The 18365-nt window shown below is 36.4% G+C and overlaps 1 protein-coding gene across 18 annotated transcripts in view, besides 1 other annotated feature; it reads left to right on the forward strand.

Annotated features, from left to right (window-relative positions):
* SUGCT (succinyl-CoA:glutarate-CoA transferase) overlaps positions 1-18365 on the forward strand; it is a 903812-nt gene that overhangs the window by 328479 nt on the left and 556968 nt on the right. The gene's annotated exons all lie outside the window — the stretch shown is intronic.
* Positions 11680-11749: an enhancer, noted in NCBI's record as "active region_25892". NCBI's record gives its function as "activates an Ori minimal core promoter by ATAC-STARR-seq in GM12878 lymphoblastoid cells {active_cell/tissue: GM12878}" and the evidence as "EXISTENCE:reporter gene assay evidence [ECO:0000049][PMID:35858748]".

The raw sequence follows: 18365 nt of genomic DNA on the forward strand, positions 1-18365 counted from the left end.
TATATTTTTTAGAATCAGGTGATTCTCCTATGAAAAGTCCAGGCTTTTTTGGAAGTACCTACCAGAGTTGTCAGTCACTTACCTCAGTTCTCTGTTATTCTTGCTAAGTACAGTTTGAAGCTACTCTCTGAGGGCGATCAGCCTCACTCAGGACGGCAGCTGCCTGTTTTGGTCATCAGCTGCGTTTTCCACAGCCAGCACACACGATTCCCCTCAAATGCTCTCAAGTGTTACTATTCCCCAACCAGGGCTGTGAGCAAGTCTTTTTTATTAATCTAAAGGTAGAAGACTTTCCCCTGGAGTTTGCCATTTTATCCAGGGTGTTGCAGAAAGTATGTTTACCCAGCTGCTAACATTGAAAACTAGGTAAAACTCAATCATGTTAAAAATCCCTAGCTAAAACAGAAGAGGAGATATAATGGAGACTAATCCAGCGCCAGATAAAACAATCCCCTTCTTTGCAATGCTAAGGAGCAACAAACTCTTAAACCTGTGCTACTCACACACCAGATCAGCATTTTTGCAATAGTTAGGACCCCAAGAGAGATATTGCAAGTTGTGAATTGAAACTAGGAAGAGAGGGATAAAGATGATGTATTAGTGTTTGGGGAGAAATAATAGGAAAACATGAAATGAGGATGAAGGAGAAGAGAATTGATGGAGAAAATAGACATAAAATTTATTTTATTCTCTCTCTCTTCCTCTCTTCACCAACATTTATTGGCCATTGACTGTGTACCATTGTCCTGCAGATACAGAGCTGAAAGATGAAGCCTGGGCTTTTAAGGAGCTCATGGTCTAATTAGGAAAATAAACACAGAAAGCATTGATTTAAGTAGAGTGTGGGAATTACCTGGGTAATCATATGCACAGTGGATTGGGGAGCCCAGAGAAGGAGCAACTCCTTTAATCTGGGAAATCAGGGAAGGCTTCCTGGAGATGGTGCCATCTAAGATAAATCTTGAGGGACAAACAGAATTAGGCAGGTAAAGAAAAAAGTTCAAAGAAGGAAATATTGATGTGAATGTACTTTTGTAGCATGAAAATAAAATCATGACAGCAGAAAAAAAGTACAGATGGTCCCCAACTTACAATTTTTTAAATTTACCATGTGGTAAAGTGGTACACATTCATTAGAAACTGTACTGTGAGCCTGGACAACATAGCAAGACCCTATGTTGCTACAAAAATTAAAATTAAAAATTTAACTGGCCCTGCTGGCATGTGCCTGTAGTCCCAGCTACTTTGGGAAAGAAACCATCCTGTGAATTTGGATCTTTTTCCAGGGTAGCCATATATGCAGCAAAATACTCTGTTGCGATGTTGTGCAGCAGTAGTGAGCTGCAGCTCTCAGTCAGTTTGGTAGGTTAGGTATATTAAATGCATTGTTGACTTATGATGTTTACAATTTAATGATAGTTTTATTGGGACATAATACCTTCATAAGTTAAGGATTATCTATAGTTTGGAGAGATGCAGTTGACAATTTTCAAGCTGCTTTTGGAAAAATGTTACATATGTAAAGCAAGTATATGTCAATGTAGTCCTAGTGAAGGCATTTGTAAAAAGTTGTTTACGTTATGTCATCATAAATAAAACTAACAGCATTAGATAAGTTCGCCTTTTAAAATACTGTGGCAATTCCTTTAGTAAAATAAATAGTTTTGGTTTGGAATGATTTGGTTATTTCTTAAATTAAGTTTTTGATTTTTAATTGTCTATTTACTTATTTTCAGAGTTTACTGCATTGTGGAGTTAAATGTCCTATATCAGGGCCTTTTAACAGAGGTGCCAAACAAGTATTTGTTGAAATGAATCAAGCATTTAGGCTGGGTGCGGTGGCTGGCTGGGTACAGTGGTTCACGCCTGTAATCCTAGCGCTCTGGGAGGCTGAGGCAGGCAGATCACCTGAGGTCAGGAGTTCGAGACCAGCCTGGCCAACATGGTGAAACCCTGTCTCTACTAAAAATACAAAAATTAGCTGGGTGTGGTGGCACACGCCTGTAATCCCAGCTACTCGAGAAGCCGAGGAAGGAGAATTGCTTGAACCCGGGAGGCGGAGGTTGCAGTGAGCCGAGATCATGCCACCACACTCCAGCCTAGGTGACAGAGCAAGACTCTGTCTCAAAAAGAAAAAAAAAAGTTTATTAGTTACATTCCTCTAAGTTGATCATTTTTAAAATTTGATATCAAATTATTTTGAATAGATTTATACAAAATACTGGAGAATTGGACCTGGAACATTTCTTGGCTCTTGATGGAGCAATTGTAACTTCAAAGGTCCCTATACTGAATGTCAATGTAAAAAACTGACATCTTGGCACTATTAAGCCACTATGACCATTTCACTGCCCTGGCTAGGTCTTTCTGGGGCTCTCTTCACCTTTCAAAAAAAATAAATAAATATATTTTTTTTGAGACAAGGTCTCACTCTGTCACCCAGGCTAGCGTGCGGTAGTGTGATCATGGTTCACTTTAGCCTTGAATTCCTAGGCTCACGTAATCCTCCTGCTTCAGTCTCCCAAGTAGCTAAAACTACAGATGCAAGCCACCATGCCTGCTTAATTTAAAATATAATTTTTTTTAAAAAGATAGTTGGTGGGTGGGGGAGTGGGGTTTCCCTATGTTGCTTTGGCTGTTCTTGAACTCCTGGCCTCAGATAATCCTCCTGCTCCAACCTCCCGAAATGCTGGGATTATAGCTCTGAGTCACTATGCCTGGCTTCTATAGCTTGAAGGATAAAGTTCAAACCATTTTACCTGAACACATGCACCTCCCACCTTGTCAGCCTTGCCTGGGTCACACAGAACCCAGTGCTACTACTTTTAATGTGGCCTAATCTTTCAGTCCTCCATGTTTCCCCATATACTCATTACTTGACACTCAAATGATGGAGCTTCTTAATCTCACTACCTGCTATCAGTCCTTTAAAATAAGCACAAGTTTTAGGAGCTTTTCTGGCCTCGCTAGTCTGTTCCAAGGGGCCCCTCCTGTGCCGCTGCATCACAGCATCTACCCCACTCAACTTTCATCAGTCATTTACTTCTCTTCCTCCTTGACAAGACAGTGAATTTCTTATGGCAGAGAATATATCCTTTGGATTTTTATTTCTAGCACCTATTTGGCACTCAGTAAATGTTCTCTCAGTCAGTGAACATGTGAAGCAATGATGGGCAAGGTATCCAAGTGTGGCAGAACTGACCAAAGGGAAAAAGCAAGGATCCACGATGTCAGGTTCTACAAAACAGAAAAGAGCAGTGGTAGCTGGAAGTGAGGACTTTGAATGAACTAGAGAACCTGTATCGTGGTCATACAATATAAGAAGATCTGAATTTGAGATCCTAGTCTTTCAGTGATCAGCCTTGAGCTTCAGGTTCTCATATATCATACGTGTAAAAATACCTACATCACAAAGAGGATTAAAAACCAGAACAGACGGGCCGGGCACGGTGGCTTACGCCTGTAATCCCAGCACTTTGGGAGACTGAGGCAGGTGGATCATGAGGTCAGGAGATCGAGACCATGCTGGCTAACATGGTGAAACCCCACCTCTACTAAAATACAAAAAACTAGCTGGGCATGGTGGTGCACGCCTGTAGTCCCAACAACTTGGGAGACTGAGGCAGGGGAATTGCTTGAACCTGGGAGGCGGAGGTTGCAGTGAGCCAAGATCGTGCCACTGCACTCCAGCCTAGCGACAGAGCAAGACTCTAAGAAAAAGAAAAAAAAAAAAAAAAAAAAAAGCATGAAAACAGCCAGCACAGTTTGAGCATGCAGCAGTACTCAGCCTATTTGAGGAAAATCTTTTTTAAAAAAGTTTTAATTTTTGGAGTACCTAGTGTACGTCTATAAATTTATGGGTAGCATGAGATATTTTGATACAGGCATGCAATGTGTAATAATCACATCATTATAATGGGGGTATCCATCAGCCCACACATTTATCCTTTGTGTCTCAACAATCTAGTTATACTCTTTTAGTTATTTAAAAATGTACAGTGAAATTATATTTTACTGTAGCTACTCTGTTGTGCTAGCAAATACTAGGTCTTATTCATTCTTTCTATTTTTGAGACCTATCTGAGGAAGATCTTAATCCTGGAAAATCATAAACTTTACTTCCCCAATTGTTTGCTTTAGCAATTTCTATATTAGTTTTAAATTCATGAACCTCATTTCCAAGATTTTTTTTTCTGCCAAACTGTAATTCTTATAAGACTCAACTTTCACAATTTGTGTTTACAAAGTTATTTTTAACTGCCAATCAGACATCCTAATAAGGATGACGTAACTAGTATTATAGTAGTAATTTACTTCTACCAAAAGCAAAGCATGACATTTTCATTAGCCTGCATGGCCTTTTTGTAGGTGGATAAATAATTTGTTCAACTTTTTGAAAAAATAAAAATAGCTCATAGGACTTAGGAATACATTTTACTTTGTACTAATTTCCTAATTAAGACTATTAATAGTACTCATTTTCTTTTTTTTTTTTTTTTTAACTAAAAGAGTACCTTAATAGCCCCTATTCTATTCCCTTTCAAGAGACACTTGTTCTGCGTTGTGGGTAATGAACTTGGAATTTGTGAACACTCCACTTGAGTTATTTCTTGCACTTGTGTCTGTACTTTCATAAAGAATGAAACACTTTTTGCGTGTTCCTTAATTGCTACCCTGTGTTAATAGCCTCCACGAAAAGCTTCAGCCCATATCTTTAAGCACTTTAGTAAAATACACCCATGACTTCTCCTGTGCCATTTTTATGTGTACGTTTTTCACTGTTTTATTTGGTATCTCTAGCCTTCCTGAAAACTGTTTGACTTTTCAGTTAAGTAATATCTGTAATTTCCTTATTTTTTATTTTCTCATGTTTAATTTCTAACATCTGTGTCACCTTCCTTGGCCTTTCCCCCTTTCCTAAATCCTCAATTTTATTCCTCCCTCCTTCCTTTTTTGGCCTACCCCATCTTTCTGCCCCTACTCTGCTTTTCACACTTTGAACTGTTTTAAAATTAAACAATAAATGGGTATTATGTAGTACAGTCTTAATTGGATTTCACTTATTTGCATGAAGGCTTTATTGAGCACAAGTTTTCTTAGAGAACAGGGAGGATTTTTATCAGTGGTTACCTATGTAATACAGTTTAGAAGGCATGGAAGGAAACTTTATTCCATGAAAGATAATTCTTCCTTACACATAGTTTGCTGATTTCAGAGGTTTTACCATTAAAGATTTTGTGGGGGAGTGGGGGTGGGTTAAAAGTCTGTATACTCTTAAGTTTCAAACAGCGCAGGGAGGGTTAAAGCTTGAACTCTGATTCCTTAGTGTAAATACATTTTCCCAGATCTTTGCCTCAGTTTAGATTTTAATGTGGAGAAAACAGAGGAATCTTCCAAACACTGGCTGCCTAAGGTAAGTGAAGAGGGACAAAATGAGAAGCTGAGAGCAGTTAGGAGCCCCAGAGATGAAGATCCCCTTCCTGACACATTTGCCAAGGGCTGAGAGGTTATGGAAGTGTCTTTTAAATCCGATGAATTCCACCTTTCCCTCAACCTGGCAACCATCCACTCTCCCATATCTACATGTTTTTAATATACATAGAGAAACTTATTGTTTTCACCCTCTGAAACTTTTTGAGTTGGTTTAATATTCTTTTTTCCATATGATCACATTTTAAAATCTCTTCTGCCAACTTTTTTTTCTGACTTCTATTAATGTCTTATGAGGCTGCATTTCATAAGCTTTATATGTATCCTCAACCTACATATTTAGTTTATTGTAACCTCCTCCCAACCCCTCATAATTCTTTGAATCATATCATGGCATTCACTGTAGAGGGGCTAATTTGGATAAATGGATCTGATGTTTGGTGAGGGTCACATTTGTTTTCTTATGCATTCCTTGGCAGTGCTGCCATTATCAGCTAATAGATGGTCCCTTGTAAAATGTCTATATTTTATGTGGTACATTTTCTGAATGTTGGTTATTTGGAGATAGATTTAAGTGGCTGTGTTTTGTTACTATAAAATCAGCCCGGAGGGTAAAAGAAAGAAAGAAACACAGCTCTGGAAAGCATCCCTTTGGCTTAGAGAATGCAAAGGGAACCACTGCAACTCCAGGCAATCTCCTCGTGACCAGGGCTTTTTCCACCCTGTTAGGAGAATTCTTTGTGACTGAGAATCAAATGATGTCTAAAGACTTAAAAGTGAGTCAGTATGGAATGGAATGTCATCTCAGTTTTTTTTTTCCAAGAGGGCTATAAACCATTCCACACTACCTTTTAGGAGGAAGAATTAGGTGGTGGTTGTGGGATATTTATATGTTTGTATACGGAGGGGATGATGGTGATGGGAGGGAGTCCAGTAAACTCTATTTCCCTGGATAAAACATTTAATACCCTCGTTTCTCCTTTGGAACTTAATGTGTATTTTTAGATTTATAGAATGTTAGAGTCCTAAACACTTGGGGAGCTGGATAGAAGTTTGGATATCATCAAATTTAACCCCTTCCTAAATGTGAGAACTTAGAATTAATAGTATCACGGGCCAAAGATCCCTTGAAACGTGGTGGAAGACTCCACAAGTCAATGCTAAAGGCCTTCTTTTTTGGGAGGGGGAAGGTACAGCTCTCCAGACTTTTCTGGCTGACCTTATTTCGCTCTTGACTTTGGAAATGGATGGAGAATCTGGAGTTTGACTCAGTCAAATCTGGTTTGCTCCTCGGACTCCCTGACTCATCCCTGTCCTGCCCAATTTCCTGCTTGCCTTTGGGTCAGACTGAGTTCTGCTCTGTACTTTGCCCACTTGGGTTCTATTCTTATCTCCTCTTAGCTTTGGCTCTCCAGCATGGACTTTGCTTGAGTCTTTGATCTTGCATCAACTGATGTTTCTAGTAAGGGCCGACACCACCTCTCTCCCAGTGCTGACAGATGACATCCCTGCTGAGTCCCGATTTCCACCAGCTGTTTAGCGTTCTGGATCATTCCCTGTTGACCAGCTGCTTCTGGCCATCCTCACCTGGACAATCTGCAGTAGTTTTGGCATGTTGCTCACTGCTTCCATTGGCTGACGGTACCTACCTTAGTTCTAGTTTGTCATGTTTTCCCCAGTTCACACAGCTCATTGATGAGGCTCAGATTGCTATCTTCTGATTATCAATGTCTTTTCCATAGCACTCACGGAATAATTGCTTATTCTCCTTTTCTCTAACTACACATTTTATGTTTACAATATTCCTGGCTAGGAAAAGAAACTAAGTGAACAGTCTCTCTCTCTCTCTCTCTCTCTCTCTCTCTCTGTCTTTCTCTCTCTGTCACACATACACAGAATCATATGTACACAACTTAAATCTCTAAATTTATAAATTTACATTTTCCTTTTTAAATGATTTTTCTTTCCTCTATTGTGAATTGTTTTTCTTTTCTCATTTGCTAACTTTGGAAAGAGAAAAAATCCAGACATTGGAATGTCTGAGTTTATTTAAGTCTCAGTACTCTGTTCAATTTAATGAACGGAAACAAAAAAGGAACATCAAAATGCTGGCCTGGATCTTTGTGGCTCCAGGATTGGCCCTTTTTGGTGGCCATTGATAGATAATGTATTTGAAAAATAGGAGTAATTGTTGGTTTCAACTTACTTTTTAAACACATCAAAATATACAAATATATTCTAAAACACAGAAATTTGGAATTATGAGAAAGTGAGAGAAATTGTGAAAAACATAATTGTATATAATTTAACATTCTGTTATCTAAAATAGAGGATAAAATGGGTCTCTGAATGCACACTAACAAGCACAGGTTGTTTACTTAAATGGTTACATTTCTTAGACTAAAAAAAGTACTAAAATACTAAATATAAAATTAAAATAATAATATTTAAAATAAAAATTTTAAACTGTATATAAGTTATAGAGTTAAGCATCTGACCAAATATGAAATCAATGTACTTGCCTATATAATTCAAAATGTAATGAAGAAGAGATTATATGCATGGTTAACAGCAGCAATGAAATACAACATATCTAGGGATAACAGTAACAAGATGTGTATGGGGCTTACATACAAAAAACCTATACAACTTTCTTGGCTAGGAAGACTAAATATTATAGTGAAGATGTAAAATTTTCTCATATTAACTTTCACAAAATTCAAAACACCATTTCAAGAGGATTATCTTCAGAATTTAACAAATTCTAAAGTTTATCTTCAAGTATACATGAAATTGTTTTTTAAGTACTGGAGATAACAATCCCTGCTATATGGTAGAACAATTCTAATGTTAAAGCAACATAAATAAATTGAAAATATAAGGTGGGAAATATATTTCCAAGAATAACTGCAGATAATAGTAGTTATTTTACAAAGAGACTATTAAAATAGGTCAGTAAAAAATTATAACAACCTCAATGTATTAACTTGAAATACTTCACAAAAACTGAAAACGTAAGGTCAAATTCATGTATGAAAAGTATTGTCTTACTAGAAATTAAATATAACCAAATAAAATGGCTGAAACATGTTTTTCTCTTTTTAATCATTCACATGCTTATAAAAATGAATAATAATTAGTGTTGCGTAAGACATAGTAAGACATACAGGTTCATTCCCTGCTGTGCAAAAAGCAATTGTTCAATAGGCATATAGAGCCTTAAAGTGTCATTCTTAGTGACTCGATAATTCTATTTTGAAATATTCATTCTTGGAGTCCTACGTAAATGTCTTTAGAGGAATCAAGATAAAGACAATGATAAGTACACAATTGCAGAGTTGTTCACAATCATGAAATAGTGCAAAGCACATACACATCTGGCATTAGAGAAACAAATAAAAGCTTACTTTGGAATATTCTGTATTCACTAAAAATTAAATTTGCCACAGATCTTTTTTACTGCATGGGAAATGCTTATTACATCAGACTAATTTAAAGGCATAATTATAAACTATGCTAGCAACGGCATAAAGGAATAGCACCAAAGAAGGAAGTAAAGCTAATATTAACCGTGGTTGTCTCTCCATAGAATTATAGGTAATTGTTTCACATCTTTATATTTCCCACTGTTTTCCACGTTTTTTAATGTGAACATCTCAGTAATCAATGAATTGATGAAGCTAACAAATAGCTTTGGAATATACATCCATTTTTAAGAGAGCAAACCACATAATGCCAATAATAATAATAATAATAATAAAAACTTCAGGGATCTGACATAGCTGATGAGCACTATCAGCAGTTTTATTTGTAGCCTTTTGTCGTTGAGAGCCCATAATGGCACAGAACATGGAGGTCAAAATATAGGTAAGAAGTGCCTTCTGTTATTGATTTATGGAAATGCCTTCTGTTATTAATTCATGTTCTTGACTTTCACTTTGCGTGAATATCAATGCCACATGTATCTGAGTATTTTCTAGCTTTATGTTACTCAGGAGAAATGGCTAAATTCTTATAATAATGTGTTATACAATTGACTTCTTTTCAGTTGTAGTTTTCTTCCTTACAAATGCATTGAGAAAGTTGTATATTTTTCTTTCTTTGATTTTTCTATGGGAAGGAAAGTATAAACTCAGTAAGAGGGAAAAGAACCATGTTTCTTGTTTGTGTATTACAAAATGTTTCATTTTTCAGTGGGAGAGTGAATGTTCTGATGAAACACAGTCCACCAATGACTTCTGCCATAAGTAGCCGAATCCACTAACAATTTATGCATGCTGTTTGTGGTTGTTTACTGTATTGTTCAATAAATCTTACATACTTATTTTAACAGTAATCATATGAAGCATCTTAAAGCAACATGCACATGCAAAAGCTGTACATTTGAGAAATGTCAATCATTTTCTGATAGTTGGTTACGTCATTTTTACTAAATATATCACTTTATCCCAATAGCAATAGTAGTTGGATGTGATATTTGATTGAAATATTATTTTTCAGTGCATTAAAGTTAAAAGTTAAGATTGCATTTAGTATACTCTCTTAAGTAGCCTTTATTTTTCCCACTCCATGTTTCTAAGCCTAAGGTGTTTCTGAGTCTGAAATGTTCCTTCTATCGGTTAGCAGCAGGGACTGAGTTTTTGATAGTACTTTTGACCCCCTCCCAAAAGTCCTCTGAAAGTTAGAAGAGTGTGGCTGTGATCCACAAATGCACTAGGAGGAGCAGAAAAAAAAAATGGTGGCATGATTTAACCAGGGACAAGTAATTGTTTTCTAATTTGCCAGCTCAGTTTGAGTTACATGTTTGAATGCAAATAACCCCCTTGGGGCATATCCAAAAAGAAATTAATTTAGGAACTCACTCAGAGATATTATTGCAAATGGTCTAGTTTTATAATTTGGTGCATGGAGTCCAAGGGTGGCCAATCAGGTAAGTAAGAGTCCTTGGGTGGCTGACAGGGTGGGTAAAAACCTAACTTTTACTTGAGTTATAGTGATTAAATGTAAAATTTCTGTCTCATATTTCTCCCCCATTCTTTTACCATTTCCCCTTCTCTCTCTCTCTCTCAGCTACTATTATGTTTGGTAGGCCACCTGGAGGAAAATCATGCCCGCTTCTCCCCCTTTCCCTATGTCAAGCTGTAGTTTAGCTGGTAACATAAAACAATCAAGGAATGTTTAATTAATGTCAGGGATACCCATGTTATGCTGAAAAATATAAATTATTTAAAGTAGTTTACTTAATTACTAAATGACACAGTTAATAGAAGATTTGAGAAGATTCAGAAACAGCATAGAGTAGTATGTTAGGGTTTGCCTAGAAGCAAAACGAATCTGGGGTCTTGGGTACCATTAATTTTTTAGGGAGAGGATTCCAAGAAATGGTATTGAGTGTGGGGGGCAGAGGGGCAGGGAAGTGAGGCAGATAAACAGTTTGCCATTTTGGGTAGCTGGGGCTCAGTCATGTTGGGAACAGTCTAAAAACTGTGTGTACATACTTTGGAATCATGTAACCAGAGGGTGTGGATGTTAGGGCATTTATCCCCCAACTACTATCCTCCAGTGTTTGATGGTTTCCCCTGGAGGTGCCATCCAGCACACTCGCATAGTTTTGGGAAAAGCCACATGCAAAGAAGAGGTGCAGGCGTTTGGAAAGGAAAGCTGTCAGCAGCATGGAACTGTTTATACTTCCAGTAAACAATAGACAACCCAGACCAGCTCAGGTTGGTCAGGGGATGTGGGATGGGGCATCTGTAGCCTCTACAGCTCTGAGTGTCAGAAGACAAGAAAGGCTAAATGCAATCATGGTAGCATTGAAGCTTGAATCAAACTGCTCAGCTTTCAATACTTGCCCTGTCCTATTAAGACATTAGTTATGTGACTTCTGTGTTTCAGAATTTTTTCATCTATAAATTGGGGATAATGAGCTTATAATAGTAATTCCTACCTTTAAAATTGTCGAGAGAATTAAATGTGTGAATACAGTAGAGGGCCTGGCACATGGCAAGCACTTGATAAGTACTGCATATTGTAGGGGTCTGCCAGGGCAGCAGCATAGTGTGATGGTAGTTAACTTGTCTTGAGTAACAGAGTTCACTTAATGAAGTCTAAGTTTTCACTCTTTTTGGAAGCTATGTGCCACGTTGACTTGCATTGGGTGCCCATTACTAAATCACCTTTTAAACAAAACCTTAGCAGTTCCTAAACCGTATTTCTCCTGTGCCTTCATGGTAAAGTACATTTTTTATTCACTCTGTTTAAAATAAAATCATCCTTGTTTAAACCAACATGATTGCTGTCTCTGCTAGCTTCTTGTTTTTCACGAATCTGACCAACATGACATCATCCAAGTCCTTGTTTGGGTTCAGCAATAGACACCATCCTCACTACCTGAGGTTGAAACTGAAAGCTCTGGTTGTATTATTTGACTGCCTTCAAATTCACACATTTGTGTCATTATGCAAACTGCATTTCTCCGTCTTGTTCACGAAGATATTTTGAATGACCTTGTTAGTAACTTCGGTGAAATCCAGGAATACTTTGTCCATAGTATATCCCTCATATACCTGTTTAAAACCAAGCAAAATAGAAAATGAGATTGGCTTGGCATTATTTGCTTTAAGGAAACCATATTGGTGACTAATTCTTACTATTTCCTTTTCTAAACTTCAAAAGAGTACTTTACAATCTTTCATTCAATGAGTATGTATTGAGCTTGAACTCTGTGAAGCATCATTTCGAATCCCAGGATTTTTCCAAGAATTAACATCAAATTTACAAAATCCAGTTTCCACATCTTTAAAACGAGGCAATATGAGGCATATTACAGGATTGTTACTATGATTCAGTAAGAAATATGTGAAAGCACCTAACAGTGTCAGAGCAGAGAGGTGCTCACTACTAAGTCAGTTTCCTTTCCCATGTTCAGAGAGAGTGAACCCAAATAATTGATCTATAAATAAGTCTATCAAATTATCTATCAATCCATCAATTGATTGTTTCATTCATCCATCCATCCTAAAATTCATCCACCCTTTATTGCTCACCTCCTCTTTTACTGAGGTGGTATAGCAGGGGGGTGGGATGGGGTGGTAAGAGCATGGATTCTGGGGCTCGTACTGTCTCAGTTCTAATCCTGGCTCTTGCTAACTCTGTCATGTTGGTAAATCATTTAAATGTCTCTATGCTTCAGGCCCCTCATATGTAAAATGGGGATGATAGTAGTACTTATGTTATAGGAATTAAATGTCTATGTCTATGTATATGTCTGTGTCTATGTCTATGTAAAGTACTTAAAACAGTGCCTTACACATAGTATATGCTATAACAATATCAGCTGTCAAATGTCAGGCTCTGTGTCAAGGCTATGTGGAACAGGGAACAAGTGAGGCTGTTTCCTGCCCCACAGTGCTTACAGTTAGTGGAGCACCACATACTCTCTATTAAGCCATGAGACTGCTTTAATTATCTGCCATTTTTTTTAAAAGATTTGGAAACCGTTGAGGAAAAAAAATATGATGATGAGGGAAAAAATTTCTTCACAAATTGTTTTTGGAGTTCTCTTAATTTATATGCATAGTTAGATGTAATCATATGCACATAACAATTGTGAGTTCTTTTTTTGCGTTTGCTTAACGTTCTTTGTGTATATGGTATCAAGTATTTTGTGTACATTGGTTGTATTTTTTACTTCAATTGGCTCATATACTACCCTGTTGTATAAATATTTCATAGTATACTAAGGGATTTTGATTTTTTTTGGCATTTAGGGCATTTAAAATTTTTATTGTTATTAGAATTTTATTGTCATGAGAATATTATTATATTGAATATTACTGTACAAATGGAATGATTCAATCAAACTGAATGAAAAGATTTATAGTTCTCATTCTTTTTTTTTTTTTGAGACAGTCTCACTCTGTTGCCAAGGCTGGAGTGCAATGGCACAATCTTGCCTACTGCAACCTCTGCCTCTCAGGTTCAAGTGATTCTCCTGCCTCAGCCTCCTCAGTAGTCCCTGTACTTGGAGTCCTCCTGGGACAGGTGTGAGCCACTGCGCCCAGCCAAATGTCGGCTTTTAATATCACAAACAACATTTAAACTAGTTTTTGCAAATGAGAGCACTCATCTTAGCTTTAATGTGTTTATTCTTCAATTAATATAGAGAAACAGTATTTGAGATAAATTACTTCCATGTTTCTCATAATAATGCTATATGTATAGGAAAGATAACATCCTCAAGGCCAATTTTATTGGATTTTATTATCATATTATACATTCATATTTATAAAATATTTGAATTATTTGAGTGATAGTTCTGTAAATAGAGATATCATCTTTAGGAGTCATTTAAAGGAAATGAATAATTTAAAGGAAACAAGACTAGTCTGGGTGGAGTTAGGGAGGGTGGACAGAGAGCAGCAAGACTGGGGAGTTGGAGTCTTATTTAGAGATTTCCAAAAGTGACTTCTTTCTGAATGTAGTAGTATTTCCTGGAAGAGCACTTCCTGTACTGTATACATGCAAAAGCGGGTTGGATTACCTCTCTTCAGGGTTCCTTGGGTGGAATGACATTGTCGGCAAAATTTATTCTACCTTTGGAATCTTTTGGAATAAAAAATAACATTTTCTATCCTATGCCTCTTTTCTGTATACCATTTTCATGTTGGTGTATTATGTACAGTAAGAAAATAATGTTCCCATTCCTAAGACTAATTTATGCATGGAAGGCAGCAAATGAGAAAATGGGTAAATGTAAAATAGTAAATTTTTATGCTTCACTTGAAAATTTCTTTATTTTAATAAGTTTAAATTAAATTCAGTGGGGACATATTAAAAATAGGGTTTCAAAACAGAAAAATCAAAGAGAAGTTGTAGGCTTGTATATTCTGGCGTGTTGCTTTCCATTACCATATACTTGAATTTAGGTTATGTTTGATATGTTGCTTAGAGTCTGAATGTGCAGTTGAAGTGACTTTAGCTTGATTATTAATCTTTCCAGTATGTCAATAGAGAACAAATAGATTTTAGGGCAAGAAGTCTGACAACAGCATCCCCAACAAATTATTGTTTGGGCTTTTTTTTCCCCCACCTTTAGGAGAGAGGTTCTTGCTGTGTTGCCCAGGCTGGAGGGCAGAGGTGCAGTCATAGCTCACTGCAGCCTCAAACTCTTGGGCTCAAGGGATCCTCCTGCCTAAGCCTCCTGAGTCATTGGTACTACAGGCATTACAGGCATACGCCACCATGCCTGGCTAATTTTTTAAATTTTTTTTTCCAGAGACAGGGTCTTGCTTTGTTGCCTAGCTTTGTCTTGAACTCCTGGCCTCAAGTGATCTTCCCTCCTCAGCCTCCCAAAGCACTGGAATTATGGGCATGAGCCACCATGTCTGGCCTCCTAATTTCTATCTAGTACTTACTACCTGTGCCAGGCACAAAAATAAGGCTTTAATTTACATCACATATATTTTATTTAAACTTCACGAAACTTGCGCGAGGTAGGAATCATCATTATGTGCTTTTATTGATGATGAAACTAAGGCTTAAAGACTTAAGATACTGTAAGGTCATGATGGAGACAAATCCTGGCTCGCCTATTTAAAGATGTATTGCTGGGTTTTTTAAAGGTGTATTTAACAAATAAATATTGTATATATTTAAGGGGTGCAGTGTTGTGATTTGATATACATATGCATTTTGAAGTAATCACCACAATCAAGCTAATATACACATTTTTCACTGCAGCAGGTTAGCACTGTTTTTGTGTGTGTAGTTAACTGAAGATCTAACCTTTTGGCAAATTTCAAGTACAGAATAAAGTATCGTTAACTGCAGTCACGTTGTTTACTATATCTCCAGAACGTATTTGTCCTCATAACAGAAACTTTGTACCCCTTGAGCAAGATATCCCTCTCCCATAATCAAATCTAATATTAATCTAATCCATGTTAATATACCATATAATGTCAAATCAAATCGATTCGATATATATATGGAATTCCACATATATATGAGGTCATATAGTATTTGTCTTTCTGTGTCTGACTTATTTAACTTTATATATTGTCCTCTGGGTTCATCTGTGTTTCAGCAAATGACAGAATTTCTTTATTTTTTATGACTGAATGATAGTCCACTGTGTGTGTGTATGTGTACCTATATATATACACACACATATATATGTTTGTGCACCTTATTTTCTTTATCCATTTATCCACTGATGGACACTTGCTTAGGTTGTTTTCTTATCTTGGATTTTGTTAAGCATGCTGAAATGAACATGAGAGTGAAGATATCTCTTTGAGATACCGGTTCATATCTTTTGGGTATATAATCATGTACCACATAACAGTGTTTCAATCAATGACAGTCTGAATGTAGCATAGCGGTCCCATAAGATTATAATAATGAATTTTTGTTGTTCCTTTTCTTTGTTTAGATATGTTTAGACACAATATTCATACAATAACATGCTGTACAGGTTTGTAGCCTAGCAGCAATAGACTATAGCTTATAGCCTAGGTGTGTGGTAGGCTGTTCCATCTAGGTTTGTGTAAGTACACTCCATGTACGTGTTCTTATATGATGAATTACTTAGCAATGCATTTCTGTATTAAGTGATGTATGACTGTATACCTAGAAGTGAGATGGCTGAATTACAAAGTAGTTCTATTTCTAATGTTTGAGAGCTTCCCTGTTTGTCAAAATGGCTGTACCAATTTACATTCCCACCAACAGTGAGAAGAGTTCCCTTTTCTCTATGTCCCTGCCACACTTGTTATTTTTTTCTGATAGCAGTCATTATAACAGATTTGAGGTGATATCTCCCTGTGACTATGATTAATATTTCCCTGACATAGCGAAGTTGAGCACCTTTTTATATATCTGTTGGTCATTTGTACGTCTTCTTTTATGAAATGCCTATTTAAGTCCTTTGCTTGTTTTTACATTGGGTTATTTATTTATATTTGCTATGGAGATGTATTAGTTCCTTATATATTTTGGAAGATTATCCCTTAAATATATGGTTTGTAAATATTTTCTCTCATTCTGTACATCATCTCTTCACTCAATTGATTATTTTCTTTGCTGTACAGAGACTTTTTAGTTTGATATAATCTCATTTGTCTATTTTTGCTTTTGTTGCTAGTGCTTTTATGGCCATAATCTAAAAAATTGTTTCTCAGGCCAATATTAGGAAACTTTCCCCCCATCTTTTTCTATTAGTTATATCGTTTTATGTCTTATGTTTTAGTCTTTAATCCATTGTGAGTTGATTTTTGTGTACGGTGTCAGATACAAGTCAAATTTCTTTCTTCTGCCTGTGGATATATAGTTTTCTCACCACCATTTTTTGAAGAGATTATCTCTTCCCTATTCTATGTTCGTGGCATCCCTGTGATGATCATTTCACTGTAGATGCATGGATTTATTTCTAGACTCTCTATTCTGTTCCATTGATTTATGTGTCTATTTTTATGCCATTACCACATTGTTTTGATTTTTTGTAGTTTTGTGATCTATTTTGAAATTGGGAAGTGAGATGCCGCCAGTTTTGCTTTTCCTGCTCAAGATTGCTTTGGCTATAGTCTTTCATAGTTCCATATAAATACTTGGATTTCTTTTTCTATTTCTGTAAAGAATGCCGTTGACATTTTGATAGGGTTTATATTAAATCTGTAGATTACTTTGGATAAAATACTCATTTTATTGATATTATTTCTTCTAATCCATGAACATAGGGTGTATTTCTGTATCTTCTTTAATATTCTACATTAATGTTGTATAATTTTTAGTGTACACGTCTTTTAATTTTCTGGTTGATTTTTTTTCCCTATTGTTTAATTTTATTTTTTGTTACTACTGTTCATATAACTGAGTAATGTATTGGAGAATAAGCTTCAGACCACAAAAGTGCCCGGAGAGGTAGTGATCTATAGATTGGTGGTGTGTTTAATTTATACACACATACATACACCCAGAGACACACACTCAAGAATGGCTAAATAAGAGTCAAAGAGTAAGAACAGAATATGCAATGAGCATATACTTCATGTAGACACATAGATATAATATGACCATTAAACATGGGGGCAGCATAATCAACATTTTTTAAAAAATCAAGTCTGGTGCAGTGGCCCATGCCTGTAATCCCAGCACTTTGGGAGGTTGAGGTGGGAGGATTGCTTGAAGCCAGGAGGATTGCTTGAAGCCAGGAAGGAGTTCGAGACCAGCCTAGGCAACATGACAAAACTCTGTGTTTACAAAAAATATAAAAATTAACTAGGCATGGTGGCGTGCACCTGTAGTCCCACCCGTTCGAGAGGCTGACCCGTGAGGATCACTTGATCCCAGGTGTTTCAGGCTGCAGTGAGCTATGATTGCACAATTGCGCTGCAGCCTAGGTGACAGAGTGAGACCCTACCTCAAGAAAAGATATATATATTATATATATATAATATTTCCTATATGTGGTAGGATTAAGATATTTATTATGAGATTATTATGTATATGATGTAGAATAAAGCAAATGAGAAATTGTGGGATATTCTAATTTTATCATTACCTATGTCCTTGAGAGCCAGAAGTATTCTAGAAGTTCTGCACATTAAAAACCACCATCAATAAAAACTTAAGGTAAATACAAAGCCGGTCTAACGTACTTAATATAAAAATCATCTACACATTTATAAGAAAATAATAACCCAATAGAAAATCATCAAAAAGATATAACCAGGGATTTTGTAAAATAAGATGTGTAAATAACTGTAAGCATTAGTAATCAGCGAGATGCCCCCTTTTTCCCTATAACACTTGGAAAATAATCAAATCAATGATAAAAATTATAATACTGAGTTTTGGTGAGAGAAACTGCTTATATAATGCATTTGACACTTACTCTTCTCATTGAGACCTTAAGTTACCCTGTTAAAAAGTGC

This window comes from Homo sapiens, chromosome 7 (genome assembly GCF_000001405.40).
Source record: "Homo sapiens chromosome 7, GRCh38.p14 Primary Assembly".
Taxonomy (NCBI): domain Eukaryota; kingdom Metazoa; phylum Chordata; class Mammalia; order Primates; family Hominidae; genus Homo; species Homo sapiens.